At 50.2% G+C, this 21086-nt stretch overlaps 1 protein-coding gene and 1 long non-coding RNA gene across 11 annotated transcripts in view, besides 4 other annotated features; one reads left to right on the top strand and one right to left on the bottom strand.

The window, feature by feature from the left end:
• Positions 1-8703, top strand: part of VDR (vitamin D receptor) — a 63458-nt gene extending 54755 nt beyond the window's left edge. For all 8 annotated transcript variants that reach the window (NM_001374662.1, NM_000376.3, NM_001364085.2 and 5 more), the window contains 3 exons: positions 3432-3583; positions 3789-3905; positions 5235-8703. In NM_001374662.1, the coding sequence (NP_001361591.1) occupies positions 3432-3583; positions 3789-3905; positions 5235-5494 (529 nt within the window). In that variant the 3' untranslated portion in view covers positions 5495-8703. The remainder of the gene's footprint in view (positions 1-3431; positions 3584-3788; positions 3906-5234) is intronic.
• Positions 3859-4360: an enhancer, noted in NCBI's record as "H3K4me1 hESC enhancer chr12:48239663-48240164 (GRCh37/hg19 assembly coordinates)". NCBI's record gives its function as "activates a minimal SCP1, AML or CMV promoter by ChIP-STARR-seq in primed H9 embryonic stem cells {active_cell/tissue: H9 hESC(primed)}" and the evidence as "EXISTENCE:reporter gene assay evidence [ECO:0000049][PMID:30033119]".
• Positions 5885-6457: an enhancer, noted in NCBI's record as "H3K4me1 hESC enhancer chr12:48237566-48238138 (GRCh37/hg19 assembly coordinates)". NCBI's record gives its function as "activates a minimal SCP1, AML or CMV promoter by ChIP-STARR-seq in naive and primed H9 embryonic stem cells {active_cell/tissue: H9 hESC(naive and primed)}" and the evidence as "EXISTENCE:reporter gene assay evidence [ECO:0000049][PMID:30033119]".
• Positions 6458-7031: an enhancer, noted in NCBI's record as "H3K4me1 hESC enhancer chr12:48236992-48237565 (GRCh37/hg19 assembly coordinates)". NCBI's record gives its function as "activates a minimal SCP1, AML or CMV promoter by ChIP-STARR-seq in naive and primed H9 embryonic stem cells {active_cell/tissue: H9 hESC(naive and primed)}" and the evidence as "EXISTENCE:reporter gene assay evidence [ECO:0000049][PMID:30033119]".
• Positions 10132-21083, bottom strand: LINC02354 (long intergenic non-protein coding RNA 2354). 3 transcript variants are annotated; one of them, XR_007063292.1, is made up of 3 exons: positions 20710-21083; positions 15589-16001; positions 10132-12422 (listed from the first exon to the last, which is right to left on the bottom strand). It is a non-coding gene; the product is annotated as a long intergenic non-protein coding RNA 2354 (long non-coding RNA). The 3 variants fall into 3 exon arrangements; XR_001749114.2 differs by lacking the exon at positions 20710-21083 and adding an exon at positions 18787-18891 and having other exon boundaries at positions 12115-12422; XR_007063291.1 differs by lacking the exon at positions 10132-12422 and having other exon boundaries at positions 13190-16001.
• Positions 18159-18208: an enhancer, noted in NCBI's record as "active region_6269". NCBI's record gives its function as "activates an Ori minimal core promoter by ATAC-STARR-seq in GM12878 lymphoblastoid cells {active_cell/tissue: GM12878}" and the evidence as "EXISTENCE:reporter gene assay evidence [ECO:0000049][PMID:35858748]".
• Positions 21084-21086: the final 3 nt, after the last annotated feature.

The following is a 21086-nucleotide window of genomic DNA, read 5'->3' as shown; positions in this document are numbered from 1 at the left end:
ATAAGCTCCAGTATGTTAAATGTATACTCCCTCTCTCTATGTATATTTGTGGGTATATATATATTTGCATAGAAAAAAGACAGGAAGGTGCCAGGCACGGTGGCTCACACCTATAATCCCAGAACTTTGGGAGGCCAAGGTGGGCAGGACTCACTTGAGGTCAGGATTCAAGAGCAGCCTGGCCAACATGGTGAAACCCCATATCTACTAAAAATAGAAAAATTAGCCAGGTGTGGTGGCACATGCCTGTAGTCCCAGCTTCTCCGCAGGCTGAGACAGGAGAATTGCCTGAACCCGGGAGGCAGAGGTTTCAGTGAGCCGAGATTGCACCACTGCACTCCAGCCTGGGTGACAGAGCAAGACTGTCTCAAAAAAAAAATTAAAATAAATAAATAAGAAAAAAAGATAGGAAGAAAATACGCCAAAATGTGAAGTGTGGTTATGAGCAAATTTAATTTGTTTTTACATTTTTATGTATTTTCCAAAGATTTGATAATGAGTATGTTTTACTTGTATAATGAGTCAAAACAAAAATGGGGATGGTGTTCATTTTTGTGTTTTAAATGTGGATTGAGCATCTAGAGAAAAGTGACAAGGATGGTGAGATGTTAGACATTGTGTCATTAGACTATCTGAAGGAGGACACGGCAGTTTTCCTTTTTAAAAAACTCCATTAGTTATGGTTCAAAGGAAGTCCCATGGCTAGTGGAGAAGTCTGGTTCTGGGTTTATTGAGCACAAAACTGTAAACCACAAATGAGTGTACTATCACGTGGATTGTAGCTCAATAGAAGAGGTCATTAATCTCGGCGCTAACAACCCCATGGCTGTGTCCAGAGGCCCTGAGCTCCCTGACCCTAGGAGAGTCCTGCAGAGGTTATGTAGGAGCCATCTCTAAGAGTTCCTAAGAGGGGCCCTCCAACTCTAGCACGTTGTGATTTTTTTTCAATACAGATCCTTTGCTGGCCATCCTGATCATGCAAGCCTTCTCATTTCCCACCATCTATCACCCATTGATACAACACTCTCATCAGTTAATATCAGCTTCCCATCTTTATATATAAACATGCAGCCATTGACGGGGTGACAGCCTATCTGCAGGATATCCAGGAGGAAGTAGACAGTCAGGAAGAGAAAGGGAGTAAAAGCCAGAAGCAAGCTGATTTGTGAGCCCTGCCTTTTCCTCGCCATTGTTCAGACAAGCCCATTCCTGACTCAGAATAGTGGAACTAGTCATTGGCCTCTCAAATCATCAACGCATCTCTATTGATCATCTTGTGCTGACGGCTCAATGGTCAGTGTGTGGGCAACAGTAAGGTGATTAAGAGGAGGTGCTGGCCCCCAAGTAACTTACAAACAAGAGTAGAAAACAAGTGGCCGGGTGCAGTGGCTCACGCCGTAATCCCAGCTCCTTGGGAGGCTGAGGCAGGCAGATTATCTGAGGTCAGGAGTTCGAGACCAGCCTGGCCAACATGGCGAAACCCCGTCTCTACTAAAAATACAAAAATTAGCTGAGTGTGGTGGCAGGTGCCTCTAATCCCAGCTACTCAGGAGGCTGAGGTAGGAGAATTGCTTGAACCTGGGAGGTGGAGGTTGCAGTGAGCCAAGATCTCACCACTGCACTCCAGCCTGGGCAACAGAGCAAGACTCTGTCTCAAAAAAAAAAAAAAAAAAAAAAAAAAAAAGGAGTAGAAAACAAGCATGTAAAGAGCAGAACTGGAGGAGACGGGCAAAATAAGAGCACCAGCAATGTTCAAGGCATCACAATGACATGGCCCTAACTGTGCTAAAGAGTCAGAAGGTGCGGGGCTCCAGTGGAAAACACAGTGGATTCAGGACCAGAAAAACAAAATGGAGAATTAGAAGGGTATTCCTGGCTGGAGCTGTAGTATGCTGAAAGGCGTGGTGATGGCTGGGTGCAGTGGCTCACACCTGTAACCCTGGTTCTTTGAGAGGCCAAGATGAGAGGATCACTTGAGGCCAGGAATTTGAGACCAGCCTGGGCCACATAGTGAGACACCATCCCTACAAAAAAAATTTAAAAATTAGCTAGGCGTACACCTGTAATCCCAGCACTTTGGGAAGCCTAGGCAGGCAGATCACAAGGTCAGGAGATCGAGACCATCCTGGCTAACACTGTGAAACCTCGTCTCTACTAAAAATACAAAAAAAAATTAGCTGGCCATGGTGGCGGGCACCTGTAGTCCCAGCTACTCGGGAGGCTGAGGCAGGAGAATGGCGTGAACCTGGGAGGCGAAGCTTGCAGTGAGCCGAGATCGCGCCACTGCACTCCAGCCTGGGCGACAAAGTGAGACTCCGTCTCAAAAAAAATTAGCTAGGCGTGATGGTGTGCACCTGTAGTCCCAGCTACTTAGGAGGCTGAGGCAGGAGGACTGCTTGAGCCCAGGAGTTTGAGGCTGCAGTAAGCCATAATCATTCTGTTGCACTCCAGCTTGTGTGACAGAACAGGACACTGTCTCTAAAAATACTAATAAAAGAAATTAGCTGAGCATGGTGGCGCATGCTTGTAGTCTTAGCTATTCGGAAGGCTGAGGTGGGAGACTCACTTGAGCCCAGGAGTTTGAGGCTGTAGCATGCTATGATCATAACACTGCACTCCAGCCTCAGCAACAGAGTGAGATCCTGTCACAAGAAAAAAAAAAGGCACAGTGAGAACACACAGCATCTGAATGTGGAGTGGCATGATGCTGCTAGAATGGAAGGTTGGTGGAGTTTACCATGGGAAAGGGAGTTGGAATGAGAGGTTGGAGCCAAGTTAGGGAGTGTGGGCCTGATCCTAGGGTGTTTGAGAGTCAGTGAAGATTTCTGAGTGCAAGAGGACATTGACCTGCAGCAGTGGTAAGAAAGATGAATGAGAGACTGGAGAGACACAAGTCTGGGATTCCTGTAAGAGGCTATTGGAAAAGACGCTGGAGCTCTGAACCAGGGCACTCCTGGTAGGAGTGGGAATAAGATCACGGGCTTGAGAGACATCCTAGAGACAGAGTTGGCTGAATTTACTACTGAGAAGGACTGGAGGACAGTAGGAGGGAGAGGAGGAGAAAACTTGGGTGTTGTTGAAGATACCATGGCCCTACCTTTTGCAGACCACCATATTCATGCCTCAATGCTGGGAACTTCCCTGGGCTCCGTTTCCTGTGCCCCATAGCTCTGGCTGCTTGGTCTCTGAGTTTTTCTTGTCTTAGTAACTGAGCTACTTCACTTCTGGCCTTGGCACATGATCACAGTGTTGAACTGTTCTCTCTCAAGGAACACTCTTGTCCCTTCCAGCCAGCCTGCAAGCTCCTCGATGAAAGACCCAGGGTGCATGTTGGTGCCCAGCAGGTGTATACCTGTCAAAGCACTAAACTGATTTGTGTGGCTTGAAGGCGTTTACTGGTAACCTGACCTCCTTCCCTCCCTCCCCTGCAGAGACCTCACCTCTGAGGACCAGATCGTACTGCTGAAGTCAAGTGCCATTGAGGTCATCATGTTGCGCTCCAATGAGTCCTTCACCATGGACGACATGTCCTGGACCTGTGGCAACCAAGACTACAAGTACCGCGTCAGTGACGTGACCAAAGGTATGCCTAGACTCCACCTCCTGGGGAGTCTTTTTCAGCTCCCAGATTCTGGCTCCACCCGTCCTGGGGTTTGGCTCCAATCAGATACATGGGAGGGAGTTAGGCACCAACAGGGAGAGAAGGGCGAGGGTCAGACCCATGGGGTTGGAGGTGGGTGGGCGGCTCCTCAGCTCTGCCCGCAGTACCTGGCCATTGTCTCTCACAGCCGGACACAGCCTGGAGCTGATTGAGCCCCTCATCAAGTTCCAGGTGGGACTGAAGAAGCTGAACTTGCATGAGGAGGAGCATGTCCTGCTCATGGCCATCTGCATCGTCTCCCCAGGTATGGGGCCAGGCAGGGAGGAGCTCAGGGACCTGGGGAGCGGGGAGTATGAAGGACAAAGACCTGCTGAGGGCCAGCTGGGCAACCTGAAGGGAGACGTAGCAAAAGGAGACACAGATAAGGAAATACCTACTTTGCTGGTTTGCAGAGCCCCTGTGGTGTGTGGACGCTGAGGTGCCCCTCACTGCCCTTAGCTCTGCCTTGCAGAGTGTGCAGGCGATTCGTAGGGGGGATTCTGAGGAACTAGATAAGCAGGGTTCCTGGGGCCACAGACAGGCCTGCGCATTCCCAATACTCAGGCTCTGCTCTTGCGTGAACTGGGCTCAACATTCCTGTTATTTGAGGTTTCTTGCGGGCAGGGTACAAAACTTTGGAGCCTGAGAGATGGTTCTGCCTATATAGTTTACCTGATTGATTTTGGAGGCAATGTGCAGTGACCCTTGACCTCTTCCGCTGGTTAGAGGTGAGAAGAGGGAGAAAAGGCCGAAGAGGAAGTTATTGTGACCTTGGGGACATGATGTCGGTGATGAGGTCCAAAGAGGGGCGGCCCTGCCTCAGCCTGTGCTAGTGGCCTGTGCCCAGGGATGCTTTCCTGGACTGGAGGCTCAAGGAATGGAGATGGGCTCCTCTACCCCTGCCCAGCCAGCCTTCTCTCATTCATTCATCCACTTAGCAACAATTTATTGAGCACCTATTAGGTACCAGGCACTATGCTAGGTACTGGGGTTCAGCAGCAAATGGGACACAGGCTCCTCTCCCATGAAGCTTAGGAGGAAACATTAAACAAATGTTATTTAATTATTAATTCCTAACAAGGCAAGAGTTTTAAAAATAAAGTAAGTGATGCTACAGAAGGGTAGAATAGAAGGAGGGAAGCTGACGTGGTCTGGGCTACAGAGGTAGAGTGTTGCCAGGAATGGCCTTTTGGAGGAAGACCTTTTAAGCTGTTATCCAAAGGATCAGTAAGAGTCTGGCAAAGATAGCAGAGCAGAGTTCCAAGCAGAGGGAGCACAGATGTGAAGGCTGGTGGCCAGAGAGCATGGCGCATCGGGACGCTGAGGGATGGACAGAGCATGGACAGGGAGCAAGGCCAGGCAGGGACAGGGCCAGGTGCGCCCATGGAAGGACCTAGGTCTGGATCCTAAATGCACGGAGAAGTCACTGGAGGGCTTTGGGGCCAGGCAGTGGTATCACCGGTCAGCAGTCATAGAGGGGTGGCCTAGGGGGTGCTGCCGTTGAGTGTCTGTGTGGGTGGGGGGTGGTGGGATTGAGCAGTGAGGGGCCCAGCTGAGAGCTCCTGTGCCTTCTTCTCTATCCCCGTGCCCACAGATCGTCCTGGGGTGCAGGACGCCGCGCTGATTGAGGCCATCCAGGACCGCCTGTCCAACACACTGCAGACGTACATCCGCTGCCGCCACCCGCCCCCGGGCAGCCACCTGCTCTATGCCAAGATGATCCAGAAGCTAGCCGACCTGCGCAGCCTCAATGAGGAGCACTCCAAGCAGTACCGCTGCCTCTCCTTCCAGCCTGAGTGCAGCATGAAGCTAACGCCCCTTGTGCTCGAAGTGTTTGGCAATGAGATCTCCTGACTAGGACAGCCTGTGGCGGTGCCTGGGTGGGGCTGCTCCTCCAGGGCCACGTGCCAGGCCCGGGGCTGGCGGCTACTCAGCAGCCCTCCTCACCCCGTCTGGGGTTCAGCCCCTCCTCTGCCACCTCCCCTATCCACCCAGCCCATTCTCTCTCCTGTCCAACCTAACCCCTTTCCTGCGGGCTTTTCCCCGGTCCCTTGAGACCTCAGCCATGAGGAGTTGCTGTTTGTTTGACAAAGAAACCCAAGTGGGGGCAGAGGGCAGAGGCTGGAGGCAGGGCCTTGCCCAGAGATGCCTCCACCGCTGCCTAAGTGGCTGCTGACTGATGTTGAGGGAACAGACAGGAGAAATGCATCCATTCCTCAGGGACAGAGACACCTGCACCTCCCCCCACTGCAGGCCCCGCTTGTCCAGCGCCTAGTGGGGTCTCCCTCTCCTGCCTACTCACGATAAATAATCGGCCCACAGCTCCCACCCCACCCCCTTCAGTGCCCACCAACATCCCATTGCCCTGGTTATATTCTCACGGGCAGTAGCTGTGGTGAGGTGGGTTTTCTTCCCATCACTGGAGCACCAGGCACGAACCCACCTGCTGAGAGACCCAAGGAGGAAAAACAGACAAAAACAGCCTCACAGAAGAATATGACAGCTGTCCCTGTCACCAAGCTCACAGTTCCTCGCCCTGGGTCTAAGGGGTTGGTTGAGGTGGAAGCCCTCCTTCCACGGATCCATGTAGCAGGACTGAATTGTCCCCAGTTTGCAGAAAAGCACCTGCCGACCTCGTCCTCCCCCTGCCAGTGCCTTACCTCCTGCCCAGGAGAGCCAGCCCTCCCTGTCCTCCTCGGATCACCGAGAGTAGCCGAGAGCCTGCTCCCCCACCCCCTCCCCAGGGGAGAGGGTCTGGAGAAGCAGTGAGCCGCATCTTCTCCATCTGGCAGGGTGGGATGGAGGAGAAGAATTTTCAGACCCCAGCGGCTGAGTCATGATCTCCCTGCCGCCTCAATGTGGTTGCAAGGCCGCTGTTCACCCACAGGGCTAAGAGCTAGCGCTGCCGCACCCCAGAGTGTGGGAAGGGAGAGCGGGGCAGTCTCGGGTGGCTAGTCAGAGAGAGTGTTTGGGGGTTCCGTGATGTAGGGTAAGGTGCCTTCTTATTCTCACTCCACCACCCAAAAGTCAAAAGGTGCCTGTGAGGCAGGGGCGGAGTGATACAACTTCAAGTGCATGCTCTCTGCAGCCAGCCCAGCCCAGCTGGTGGGAAGCGTCTGTCCGTTTACTCCAAGGTGGGGTCTTTGTGAGAGTGAGCTGTAGGTGTGCGGGACCGGTACAGAAAGGCGTTCTTCGAGGTGGATCACAGAGGCTTCTTCAGATCAGTGCTTGAGTTTGGGGAATGCGGCCGCATTCCCTGAGTCACCAGGAATGTTAAAGTCAGTGGGAACGTGACTGCCCCAACTCCTGGAAGCTGTGTCCTTGCACCTGCATCCGTAGTTCCCTGAAAACCCAGAGAGGAATCAGACTTCACACTGCAAGAGCCTTGGTGTCCACCTGGCCCCATGTCTCTCAGAATTCTTCAGGTGGAAAAACATCTGAAAGCCACGTTCCTTACTGCAGAATAGCATATATATCGCTTAATCTTAAATTTATTAGATATGAGTTGTTTTCAGACTCAGACTCCATTTGTATTATAGTCTAATATACAGGGTAGCAGGTACCACTGATTTGGAGATATTTATGGGGGGAGAACTTACATTGTGAAACTTCTGTACATTAATTATTATTGCTGTTGTTATTTTACAAGGGTCTAGGGAGAGACCCTTGTTTGATTTTAGCTGCAGAACGTATTGGTCCAGCTTGCTCTTCAGTGGGAGAAAACACTTGTAAGTTGCTAAACGAGTCAATCCCCTCATTCAGGAAAACTGACAGAGGAGGGCGTGACTCACCCAAGCATATATAACTAGCTAGAAGTGGGCCAGGACAGGCCCGGCGCGGTGGCTCACGCCTGTAATCCCAGCAGTTTGGGAGGTCGAGGTAGGTGGATCACCTGAGGTCGGGAGTTCGAGACCAACCTGACCAACATGGAGAAACCCTGTCTCTATTAAAAATACAAAAAAAAAAAAAAAAAAAATAGCCGGGCATGGTGGCGCAAGCCTGTAATCCCAGCTACTCAGGAGGCTGAGGCAGAAGAATTGAACCCAGGAGGTGGAGGTTGCAGTGAGCTGAGATCGTGCCGTTACTCTCCAACCTGGACAACAAGAGCGAAACTCCGTCTTAGAAGTGGACCAGGACAGGACCAGATTTTGGAGTCATGGTCCGGTGTCCTTTTCACTACACCATGTTTGAGCTCAGACCCCCACTCTCATTCCCCAGGTGGCTGACCCAGTCCCTGGGGGAAGCCCTGGATTTCAGAAAGAGCAAGTCTGGATCTGGGACCCTTTCCTTCCTTCCCTGGCTTGTAACTCCACCAACCCATCAGAAGGAGAAGGAAGGAGACTCACCTCTGCCTCAATGTGAATCAGACCCTACCCCACCACGATGTGGCCCTGGCCTGCTGGGCTCTCCACCTCAGCCTTGGATAATGCTGTTGCCTCATCTATAACATGCATTTGTCTTTGTAATGTCACCACCTTCCCAGCTCTCCCTCTGGCCCTGCCTTCTTCGGGGAACTCCTGGAAATATCAGTTACTCAGCCCTGGGCCCCACCACCTAGGCCACTCCTCCAAAGGAAGTCTAGGAGCTGGGAGGAAAAGAAAAGAGGGGAAAATGAGTTTTTATGGGGCTGAACGGGGAGAAAAGGTCATCATCGATTCTACTTTAGAATGAGAGTGTGAAATAGACATTTGTAAATGTAAAACTTTTAAGGTATATCATTATAACTGAAGGAGAAGGTGCCCCAAAATGCAAGATTTTCCACAAGATTCCCAGAGACAGGAAAATCCTCTGGCTGGCTAACTGGAAGCATGTAGGAGAATCCAAGCGAGGTCAACAGAGAAGGCAGGAATGTGTGGCAGATTTAGTGAAAGCTAGAGATATGGCAGCGAAAGGATGTAAACAGTGCCTGCTGAATGATTTCCAAAGAGAAAAAAAGTTTGCCAGAAGTTTGTCAAGTCAACCAATGTAGAAAGCTTTGCTTATGGTAATAAAAATGGCTCATACTTATATAGCACTTACTTTGTTGCAAGTACTGCTGTAAATAAATGCTTTATGCAAACCAATTTGCCTTATCCTTATAAGGACCTTATGGGAGATGAATCATTATTACCCCCATTTGACAGAAAGGATAGCTTGAGCAATGCCACACTAGCAAGGGATGGGATTTGAACCTTCAGCAGCTAGGTTCAGAAGCCACAAATTAACTGCTACATTGTCCTGCTTCCTATTGAGTTGGGGGACCTGACAGACGACTGATGGTCTTGCTAGCTCTCTCCTAGAGAGGAGATAAAAGAGGTTCCCATTCCTAAAGCAGGCCCTGAGCCAGGAAAATTAGAGGTGCTGGACCAAACTGTGCTCTACTCCCAGGAAGTGTGCAGTCAATATATGACACCTACGTGAGACCCTCAAAAATGAAAACCAAACAGCTACTGGCAAAACTGTGTCTGCCATTAGAGATGGCGGCTGTGCCAGTGACCTGGAGGATTACAAATGACTGCTGTGCAGAAACAGGACTCCTAAGGGGCCCAACTTATGCCGATGCACTCCATTCTGCTTCCCAAGGAAGTGGGGTTTATGATGAAGGGTAGCATTGCTAGGCACAGTAAACAAGAACACAGCATTGTGATCTGAAAATAAGGAAATCATGCCAGCTAATGTATTGATTGAGGATAAGTTGGCCTGGGGATGTGATTCACTCTAATTTTTCAGAAACATCTGAAAATATTTCAAACCAAAGGCTAAAATGTGTTTCAGTGGGATGAGATGGACTTAGGGGAATTGGGGTTAGAACTTGAGGGTTATTTTGTGAAACATGAAGGGACTTAGAGAAAGGAAATCAACAGCTGCATAAATGGGCATGTCTCTGGCTGGAGAAATGTGGAGAATGGAGTTCTGATACACTGTTAGAAGGATCTTATGTAGCATTTTTATAGCTGACCTAGAAGAACACAAAATTTCCAAGGCTGTGTTATAATGCGCTTTTCCAGGTAAACCAAGAGGAATATACCCCAGGAAGGTTGCATAATTAGGATCAAGTGTTTTCAAGTTTTCATATTCCAAGCTTTGGTTCTATGCCTACACTGTTCAATCCAGTAGCCACTAGCTACATGTGAGTATTTAAATGAAATAAAGGTAAACATCTAGCTTGTCAACCGCACAAGCCACAGTTCCAGTATTTGATAACCTCAGGGCTACCGTAAGAGACAGTGCAAATACACAACATTTTCTTCCTTTTTTCTTTCTTCTTTCTTTCTTTTTTCTTTCTTTTTTCTTCTTTTTTTTTTTTGAGACAGAGTCTTGCTCTGTCACCCAGGCTGGAGTGCAGTGGCACAATCTCGGCTCACTGCAACCTCTGCCTCCCAGTTTCAAACCATTCTCCTGCCTCAGCCTCATGAGTAGCTGGGATTACAGGCACCTGACACCATGCCTGGCTAAGTTTTGTATTTTTAGTAGAGACAGGGTTTCACCATGTTGTCCAGGCTGGTCTTGAACTCCTGACCTCAAGTTATCTGCCCGCCTCAGCCTCCCAAAGTGCTGGGATTACAAGCGTGACATTTTCATCATCGCAGAATAGTCTATGGGGCAGCACTGGTCTACACAATGCATTCTTATCTGGTACTAATTGTGAATGACTCCATGAGGATGCTGGCGTCATGTGCTTCTGTTGATCTGTAGGGCAGAATGGCCACTAACTTGACATCATATGGAAGTGCTATAGGGAACATCCTCCCCTTACAATGGGCTATGCCACACCTGGGGTAGTTCGAATGAGTCTGCTTCTTAAAAGAGACATAAAGCAAAAACACTGCACAGACCATGGGGTTGATAGGCTCAAAGCATCATGTGGTATAAATAGCTCACTGGTGTGCTAGGAGTATTGATTCCTTTAGCCCTGGAGCAAGCAAACAGGGCCTGCCAGGAGTGACCACAGCCCTTCAATTTCCCCAGCTTCTACCAGGCTCCTTGCAGGCTGCCTGTGCAGTGCAGGTCGGTCTGCCTGCCCCATGGTCCCTGCAGATGACAAGAAGGATGGATGCTGTCTGACACCTCCAGCATGGCCAAGGAGATGGCTCATCATGCTGACATCCTATAGGCAACTAGTCCTCATTGTGGGCAGGGAGCCCGTGAGGCTGATGGGGAGTCTGTGCTCCTCAAGACCCAGAAGCACAGCAGGGTGTGGAGCCTGTGGCTGGCAGGGGGAATCTGAGAGCTCGCTGCTCCAGACAGCTGCTCCGAATCTCTGTATGCACGCATGTGATATATGATATACGGGATGGTGTTGCAAGTTGGGTTCCAGGGACGTAGACTCTGAAATGCAGGTTGAAGTGCAGGGAGCTTGTTAGGGAGCAGTCTCAGGATTATCAGCCCTGGTGGAAGGGAAAGAAGTAGAATTAGCAGTGGGAGAAGTTGGGCTGCAAAGCAGTCTCAGTGAAGGTCTCAATCAACCCGTGTGGGGATCTCTGAAGCTGGGATGGCCCTTTGGATTGCCCCAAGATGAAGTGAGGGAGACACTTCTATATTCCTGCATCAGGTAGTCATTGGACGCAGGCTGTTCCCTGAAGAGCATGTGATTTCATTGACATGACCTCAGCTAGGCGGCTCTTTTCAGCCTGTGGCCCATAGGACATGTCCATAAGGGGTGTTTTCTTCACATTCTATACAACCTGGTGAGCACTTCTGGAGTGAGCTGCTCTGGCTTGGGGAGACGCTGGAAGAGTTCCAGGCCCTCTCCTGTGGCTCTATCCAAGGAGAGTGCTGACTCCAAAGGAGGGGGTTCCCAGCCTCCCCTCAGTTATGGATTAGCTGGGTTATTTTTCCTAAATCATCTTGAGTTTCACCACGAGGTGGTGCTACTGCCCTACAGGGATAGCTTTGAGCCACTTGCCTGGCCCCCCGCCCCCAAAGCCCCAATCACATCCCCCTTCCACCCTTTCTCTATCTCCATGATATGAGTGAGATTCAGCAAGGCTCTGAGTCTCTGCTACTGAGGGCATCTGGTGGTGCTTACCTCTCCTCATGCCAGCGACATGGGGTTAGGGATCTGCTCTCTGGCTTCTCCTCCCAGGCAACAGGGAGTATCTGACCCTCTCACACCTCACCCAAGGGCCTCCCAGGGTCTTGTGCCCCGGGCCTCTGAGCATAGTCCGTGCTGACAGTGAGCGAGGCTGCAGGTTCCCTCTGAGGTCCAGCCAAGTTATGTAGTCCTTCCAGTGTTTCTAACCAGCCACACCACCGAGCTCAGTGCTGGGGATATGGCGATGAACAAGACAGTCGCCACCCCCAAGAAAAGCACTGTGCAGTGGGAGAAGACAGCCCTACAGACAGATGAGTACTAGGCATGCCAAGTGGAAGCTGCAAAGTGTTAACAAGTTAAAAGTAACAGTTAACAAGTAAACTGCTGTCTCCCAGGCCTGGCTCTGCCATTTGCTATTTGTATGACCCTGGGCAAGTTACTTAATGTTTTTGAGCCTCAGTTTCTTCACAGAATGGTAACAATAATAGTACCTACCTCATAGATTTGCTGTTGTTGTGATATAATCTGTGTAAAGCATTTATAACAGTACCTGGCACGTAGTTATCAATCATGTGTTGGCCAACATCACTATTGGGTTGCTGAGATGGCCAAATAAGTTTTTATCAAGGAGGTGACATTGCTCCCACATTCCGACCTCCGATCCCTGATGGGCCCTCTAGATTCACTCCAGGCTGATTTTTTGGGGCGCCTCTTCCGGATCTCAGCTTCTTGGTGCTAGGGACTCCTGCTCCATGATATCTACCAGAACTGAGAGAAGGTGTCATTGTACCACCTGGCCACCAGGGGGCAGGTGTGCCACTTAATAAACCAAATTGGCCCCAGCCGAAAGCTGCCTGGGGAGAAAAGTGTGGGAAAGAGGTGGGAAGATAGGAATATAAATCTGAAATGCATGGAACTCTAGTGACTACTGTCCCCAACTTCTTTCAGTCATGTTCTTTATTTGTCAATGTCAATCCTTCAACAATCACCAACACCTGGACTTCACTACATGCGTATTTACTGACCTATAATTAATGTCAGTATTCTCTGGCAAGGGGTGGCTTATGCCCAGAGAAAAGGGAATCAAGACAAGTTTCAAGAATCGGGTTTGATCGATTCATTTATCCCCATGTTTGTTGGAACCCTGCTTCTCTGATGAGGTATAAACCCCACCATGATCTCTTCAGTGTCATTTGTCTTTGTTCCAGACATTGAAACTTAACCGACCACCGTGTCTGGGTACGTGCAGTTCTCTGAACGTGCAGCTCTGTGGCTTGCCTCTAAACCAGAGTTTCTCAAGCATTTGGGTCCTGGCATCCTTTTACTCTCTTAAAAAGAAGGACCCCAAAGAACTTTTGTGTGTGTGGGTTAGATTCATCAATATGTACCATTAGAAATTAAAACAGACATTTTTAAAGTGTATTCTTTAAATGTGGCAATAATGAATCTATTAAAAGTTAGAACAAATAACACATTTTTTTCTTTAAAATAACCAGTTTCCAAAGTAAAACTAATTTAATGACAAGACAGTATTGTTTCACAGTTTTGCAAATCTCTTTAATGTCTGGTTTAGTAGAAGGCAGCCAGATTCTCATATTGGCTTCTGCATTCAACCTGTTATGATATCATGTGTCAAGAAGCCTCCGGAAAACTCCACTGTACACTTGTGAGAAAATGAGAGTCAAAAAGGCTAATAATGTCCCTGCTAGAAAATGAAATGCAAACAGACTTATGCAAATTTAAACACCTTCCTTTCAACTTCAGAACCTGTGAAGTTAATTCCATGTGGCTTCAGAAACTTCATACTAACTCCTCTCCCTAAAGTGTCTGCCACATCCCCCTCATTCTGTACTTGGCTAATTCGTGTGTGTGTGTGTGTGTGTGTGTGTGTGTGTGTGTGTGTATGTGTGAAAGAGAAGGACAGAAAGAGAGAGAGATGGTCTCTCTGTGGCCTAGGCCGGAGTGCATGATCATAGCTCACTGCAGACTCAAACTCCTGGGCTCAAGCAATCCTCTCATCTCAGCCTCCTGAGCAGCTGGGACCACCGGCACACTCAGCTAATTTTTTTGTGTTTTGTAAAGACGAGGTCTCTCTATGTTGCCTAGGCTAGTCCTGAACTCCTGACTTGAAGCAAACCCCCTCCCTTCCTCCCAAGCCTTGGCCTCTCAAAGTGCTGGGGTTACAGGTGTGAGCCACCGTGCCTGGCCACCAATTTGTTTTTGACTAAATGCAGAATGTAGCATTTGTCCCTCTTTATATTTATCTGATTTTATTATCCCACACTGGCCTGCTCGAATGTTTTGAATCCTCATTTTGTCATCCAGTATTCTCACCATCCCTCCTGCTCTTGCATCTTCCAAAAGCTAGGTCTGCAGACCATATTCAGAGTTGACTGAGACAGAGCCAAAGACTGTGTCCTCTTGCAGGTTAACATTAGCTCATGAACCAGAAGCTCTTTGGTTCAGTTGTTCAAGACCTCACCGATAAGGAAGGGAAGCGGGTGGGTAATGAGAGACTGAGCCTCAGGTGAGGGGAGTCATTGGAAAGACTCAGGTACCACAGGAATGCGGGGAACTTGTCAATGCTGCCACAGCCCCTCCCTCCTCAGGACTCAACAGCCTCACTCCAAGTCTGAACAGACTCTTTAAGAATTAGACAGATCTGAGCCAAGGGTCACAGATCCAGGGTTATTTGATCTAGGGGATGCACAAGGGGTGGATCAAGTATCAAATTTCAAGCTGGGTTGTTCTGCAAATTGTCTGAGCTGGACTCTGGGAAGGAAGGCATGGCCTCCTAGATACTGGTTGCTGAGAGGAGGAAGGCAGGAAGAAGCTCCCGTGAGCTCCTGGGGGTAGTGGGCAGAGCTCCCCTTAGACCTCCAGACCTTGGTGGTGAAAGGAGAAGTCACACATAGCCTGGTCGACAGCCCTTATTTAGCTCCGTAGGGCCTCCCCGCTGCACTCTTCACTTGCACTCAGAAGCCTACTGGGCCTCTGGAAAGGCCCATGCCACCCTGACCCAATCCCAAATCCTGGCTGGACATGGTGGCTCATGCCTGTAATCCCAACACTTTGGGAGGCCGGGGAGGGAGGATTACTTGAGGCCAGGATTTCAAGACCAGCCTGGGCAACATAGAGAGGCGGCATCTCTACAAACAAATTTTAAAAATAAATTAGCTGGGCCTGGTGGCATGTGCCTGTAGTCCTAGCTACCTGGGGGGCCAAGGTGGGAGGACTGCCTGAGCTCCGGAGGTTGAGTCTGCAATGAGCCATGATCGCACCACTGCACTCTAGCCTGGGCAATAGAGCGAGAGCCTATGTCAAAAAACAACAAAAACAAAAGAATCCTGCAGACACCTGTGAACATCTGTGGCAGCCGGCATGGGGCTAGGGCCAAAGTGAGGGCAGGTGCCCCAACTTTGTCAACTCCTGACTACTATTTCCCCATTTGCCTACTAGGCTGGCCAGATAGATCAAGCGGCCTATCAGGAAGGGCTTGGTCCCCTAAGCCACTGGCCCAGCCTGGCAAGGACTGTGAGCCCCAGGTTAAGCGTGTAGGGGAAATGCTCCTGGTATCCTTTCTGCTTCCTCCACTTCCCCTAGCCCCACTGATTTACATGTCTTTCCCTCTCCTACCCAGGAGCCCCCGGAGAGGGACAGGGAGGGGATTGTGGAGGCCCTGGGTGATAAAGTAGGGATGGGGGAGAAGTGATAAAGGGGGTGGGGGAGAAGCCAGCTGCACTTCCTCCCTGATAGGGACCCCACCCCAAGAGGCTCCTGCCTCTGCTGTGTTCACAGGAAGGACTGGAGGTGGTAGAGGAGTGGATGGGGAGGGCGGTGGGCAGGATATCAGTGGCTTCTGCAATCCTTTGCCTTGGAAGATGACAGTTCATTATTTTGTCCTTCGGTTGTTCATTCATCAGCAAATACTTACCACACTCCTCCTACCACCGCTGGCAGAGCTCTGGGCTGGGAGGGCCAAGGAGGCAGATTGAGCTCAGTAGCTCTGCTGGTCTCCCCTCCACCCCACTCTTCAGCCTTGAGGGAGGCAATGAGTGAATAAGAGATGAACTTTAACAGCAGGTCATTGGAATCCTGATAGTGTCTCTTACTGACTGTGTAACCTTGTGGGAAATGTGTGAGCTCTCTGATCTTCAGCTTTCTCATCTGTGAATGACCATGTAGAGCTGGTAAAGATAACGGAAGGAAGGCTCGCAGCACGCCGCAGGGCCTGGCCTTGTCTAGGGCAGCAATGAAGAGCAGCAGAAGTGGCATCTAGCAGGAGCAGGATTTGAACCCTGGCAGTCCCCTGAGTCGCTGTGGAACTGCTGGCTATTTGTCTGTCTTCTGTAAAGCAAAGAGAGTAATGGTACTTACTTCCTAGGTGTTGTGAAGACCACATGAGCTACTATGTAGTATTTAGAATTGCGCTTGGCATGGAGTTCGGTGCTCGGTAAATGTTAGCCTTTATTACTGTAATTTTCATCATCCTCTGGGGACCCTCTCCTCTAAAGAGATAACGTCTAACCTGATATCGTCTTCCTTATAAGCAGCTCCTCCAACACATTCCAAGTCAGGGATAGACGGGGTAGAAGCAGGGATTCACAGGTGGACCCCTCTTGTGAAAGGCCAAGCTGGCCCTCAACCCAGCTCCTAGGATGGCAGACGCACGCCTGGCCCGGCCCATGGTGCCAACAACTCCGCTTACTCCCCCAGCTCCACGGTGTTGTGCTGGTGGGTAGTGCGGAAGACCTGAGGTCTGCCCCATTATCTCCTCCTGCAAAGCCTCCTCCACCCGTTAACCCCCAACCGAGATTATAGAGCCTCAACTGTCTCCAACTGCTCTGATTCAGGGATAAGGCTGGACCTTCGAGCCCATCAGCCCCACAGTGTTGAGGGGAGGCTGCCTGGTTCCCTGGGAGCTGGCGAGCTGGGGAAGTTGGACCACGGCAGAGGCTGGGGACACCCCCCTGCCCACCTGCCTGCCTGCTCTGGTGTTGCCTCCAGAACTTGAGGAAAAAAGTGATCCTCCTCTGGGGAGAGGCCTTCCTGGGTTCACTAAGGCTCTTTTCTCCCATCTCTGTCTTTCCTGTCTACCTCGCTGGCTCCAGGCTGCTTCTACTGTTTCTACTTCTCTCTCAGGCTGCTCTTCCCCCACCCCCAGAGCCTCGAAGCTGCACACCTGTCTCCTCACATCAGATAACCCGACCACAGCAGCTCCTGTCACCCCAGCCAGGCTCCCAGCAGCCCCCCAGCTCCCTCGCCCATCGCCCTCTTCCTCTCCTGCCACCCCCACCTTCTAGCTCCCTGACACACCTACACAGCCCTGGGGAGGGACTGGGAGGGGAACCCCAAAGCCTTACTGGGTAATGAGGGTGTGAGAAGACAGCTCTTCCTACTCCCCAACATACACGCGTGCGCGCGCACGCGCGCGCGCGCACACACACACACACACACACACACACACACGGTGGAAACTCTATACCCCTGTGCCTAGTCAGAAACAGTGACGGGGAGGGACCCAGGGACCAGGCCTCGAGGTATGAGGAAAATCCATCCTGCCCAAGTGAGGGGGTTGGGGAGTCACAGAAAGGGGCAGCTTCTGGGGCTGAGGGTTCCACTGCCTCCTGTTTTTAGGCAAAGAGTTTCCAGGGCTTCATCTCCAAGTCCTAAGGCTAGAGGCCCCCAGCAGGGCCCTCCTCTGGTGGAGCTGGGCTGGGGAGGTGGGTGGGTGCCATGTGGACCTGCCCCAGCCCCTTCCCACTGTTCCTCAAGAGGCCAAGTGGGGAGGAGGTTGGGGGGTGGTTGTGGGGGCAGCGGCGCTGAGTTTGGGATGCTGGGGCTCAGGGAGACTGGGTAAGAGCTGGGCAGGACACCGTGGGAAGGGGAGTGGTGGGACCTAGGAGGGAGGGGAACAAAGACCAGGGTGCCTGGGAGCTGGAGGTTTTAATACCTCTTGACAACAAATGAATCATAGGCAAATTCTGTGGAAATGATGGCGTAAAGAAAGATGTGTTATTTCAAGGCCCCAGTGTGTTGTTGTGGGAAGAGAGTGGAACGGGGAGGAGCAGGAGGCCTAATGGCGCCTGTAGGTGGGGGCCCGGGTAGAGTTCCTGGGGGCGCCGTGAAGGTGATGGCCCCTGCATCTCATGTCACCTTCAGGGGGTGATGTGAAACAGCAGGTGGCCGACCACAGCCCGCCAACCCCCACCCCAAAGCAGAGAGGCCCTCATACCCGCTGAGCTCACCTCACTGTGATGCTCTGTTCCTCCTGCAGTCAGCCCTGTCCTCTGGGGGCTGTCCCCACAGGCGCCTGCCATGGCCTGCTCCTCAGCAGTAGTAGAGGAGACTATGGAGCTCCAGGAGCCTCCCATATATGGGAGGGAATCTGCAGTGAGCACCTGGCCATCACCCCTCACGGTGGGCTTTTTCCTATCAGGAGAATGCTGAGTTGATACCCACAGTGACCGCACCTGCCTTGCGGTCGGAGCTCAGTCTATTAAGTTGCCAGATAAATGCATTTGTGGCCTCTGGAAGGTTGTCAGGGCCCTTGCTATAGCTGAGACCCAAATCTCAGCTTCTGGTCAACCCTCATTCCCGCTCTCCGCAATGTTAAGACTCATTAAATGAGACCAAAACCATATATACCCATTCCACCCTACATAATCATTACCTATGACACATATTTCCTCTTCACCTTCTCCTCCATGCCTATATGTTTTTTAATACAGTTGCAATCATGGGGTATGTACCAATCTCTATTCTCTTGTGATGCTGTGTTGCATATAAACATCTTCCTAACAGCTTCATAGTTTTCTATTAAGTGGAAATATAGTATCATAATTTACCTCCACAATTTTCCAATCATAAGTGTTCAAATTGTCTCTAATTTTCTATATTATAGGCAGTGTGATGGGGGACATCATTAGGCACATACTCCGCTCCTCCTCCCCCAATTTTGACTATAGAAATCTAGTTTAGGATACACTGGGTGGGGTTATTGAGCCAAAGGGTAACAGCACATTATAGCTCTTACTATATATTGCCAAACTGATTTCAAAAGAGGTTACGCCATTACCGACAGCACACACACTTCACCGAGCTCTCGCTAATGTTTCAAAAAGGCACCTACCTTTGTCTCATTTTAATTGGCATTACTTTGAGGACGATCAGGTTGAACATACCCCTACCTCTGCTTGTGAGTTGTGTTTCCTCTGTACCAGGAGAGTCTGTTTCTGGGCTTTGAACTTTAGTCTCCACTGTTCTAGTGCTTCTTAACAGTTTGTGTGAGCTCTCTTTATAAGAATGATTTTAGGGCCGGGTGCGGTGGCTCATACCTGTAATCCCAGCACTTTGGGAGGCCGAGGCAGGCAGATTGCCTGAGGTCAGACCAGCCTGGCCAACATGGTGAAACCCTGTCTCTACTAAAAATATAGAAATTAGCCGGGCTTGGTGGCGGGTGCCTGTAGTCCCAGCTACTCGGGAGGCTGAGGCAGGAGAATCACTTGAACCTGGGAGTCGGAGGTTGCAGTGAGCCCTGATCATGCCATTGCACTCCAGCCTGGGCCACAGAGCAAGACTTCATCTCAAACAAAAACAAACAACAACAAAAAAATGATTTTAAAGCATTGTCAACTGCAACCGTGTGCGAGTCTCTCCTTCTTGATATTCTCTCCCACTTGGGATTCCGATGCACTTCCTCTTGCTTCATTGAAATCTGTGACTGCTCCCGGCCTGCTCCAGCTTCCACTCCTCGCCCATCTGAAGTCTTTGTTTTCTCAGGTTTCTGTATTTAGCCATCTTCCCTGCCCTCCCCTTCTCTCCTCTCTTCTCCCCTGCTCTTGTGGTGTCATTCATTCCTACAATTTCCTCTCTCACTGATGACCTCCAAATTCTTCCCTGAGCTCCAGATACCAACTGTCCACTCAACAACCCCCCTTGCTCATCCCACCAACACCTCAAACTCCACCTGTGCAAAGCTCCATTCTGCATTTTCCTCCAAATTTGCTTCTCCTCCCATATTCCTTAACTCAGCTACTCAAATACCTTTGGGTTTGGAGTCGCTTTTGGAAGAGGAAAGAGGAAGGTGGAGGCTAATGCGCCTGAAGAGGTAATCGGATTCTATCAACCTTCTGCTCAGAGAAGGAGCACTGGGAAGGGCAGGAGAAGGCCAGTTGTCAGGGAAGATGCTGCTCTATGCCTCAATTTCCTTGCCTGCCTGGACACTAAAACGGATCCAGGTCTAGAGATAGATGCTTGAAACCCAAAGGGAGTGGTCACCCTCCTAGAGCAAATTAACCCTTAACACTGGCCTCACCAGCTTTTTCCTTCACCTCTTGAGCCTCTTCCCCAATAAGAGACTGGAAGGGATGAAGAAGAGGTAAAGCTATAAGTCTAAACTTGTGCTGTCCATACAGTAGCCAGTGGCCACATGTGGCTACTAAGCACTTGAAATGTGGCCAGTCAGAATTGAAATGTGCTGTTAGTATAAAATATACACTGGCTTTCAAACACTTAGTATGGAAAAAAAATGTAAAAGATTTCATTAGTAATTTTTTATTTTGATTGCATACCAAAATAATGTTTTAGATTTACTATATTAGGTTACATAAATATACTACTAAAATGAATTTCACCTGTTTATTTTTCCTTTTTTTGATGTGGCTAATAGAAAATAAGTTACATATGTGGCTCACATTCCGTTTCTATTGGACAGCGCTTATCTAGACCCTCCCAGCAGGTGAAGTGTGGGGCTCCAGGCTCGGGAGACAAGGGCAGTACATGACAGACACAGGTGCAGGCCCTACTACAGGTGTGGGCCAGCCAGAGCTCCAACCAGATGTCTCCAGACAGACACTGAAGGACAGATTCTCAGTGGCCAGCCTCACTCAGGCGAAGCAAAGCCAGGCAACATTTCCTGGATAATTCCTTCAGTCTTTGACTTCATGAGGGTCTCTGGACTGAGGCTTAGCTCTCCTGAGCTTGTCCCTGTAGATGCCCCATTATTCTGGAAAAACACTCACCCAGGACCACCCAGACCTTTGGATCCCCTCACCTTGATAGTTCATTGGAAGATTTTTCTATCACTCCACCTGGGCCAGGTCCTGGATCTCTTTCCAGAAGCCCAGAGGTGTCCTTCCTCCTGTCTAGAGCCCTCCCTCCCACGCACTCTGTCTTAGGCTTAGCTCACCACAGGCTGGGAGGGGATGAGAGATGGAGGTGTGCTCAACTTGACCTCGAACTTCCATGTACACTACCTGGGTCACAGGCACATTTTGAGCTCCATTTCTAATGCCTATAGAAGGGAACAGGAGGGGACGAGGGGTGGCAGATATACTCCATTGGGCTGCCCTTCTCTGTCTCATTCTCCTTTTCCTGTGCCCCGGCTGCGCCATTTGAGGGCACTGAAGCTGGGGCCCAGTCTGCGTGGGT

This window comes from Homo sapiens, chromosome 12 (assembly GCF_000001405.40).
Source record: "Homo sapiens chromosome 12, GRCh38.p14 Primary Assembly".
Lineage (NCBI taxonomy): Eukaryota > Metazoa > Chordata > Mammalia > Primates > Hominidae > Homo > Homo sapiens.
Note: the sequence above shows the minus strand (reverse complement) of the source record. Positions and strands in the feature narration are given on the sequence as shown.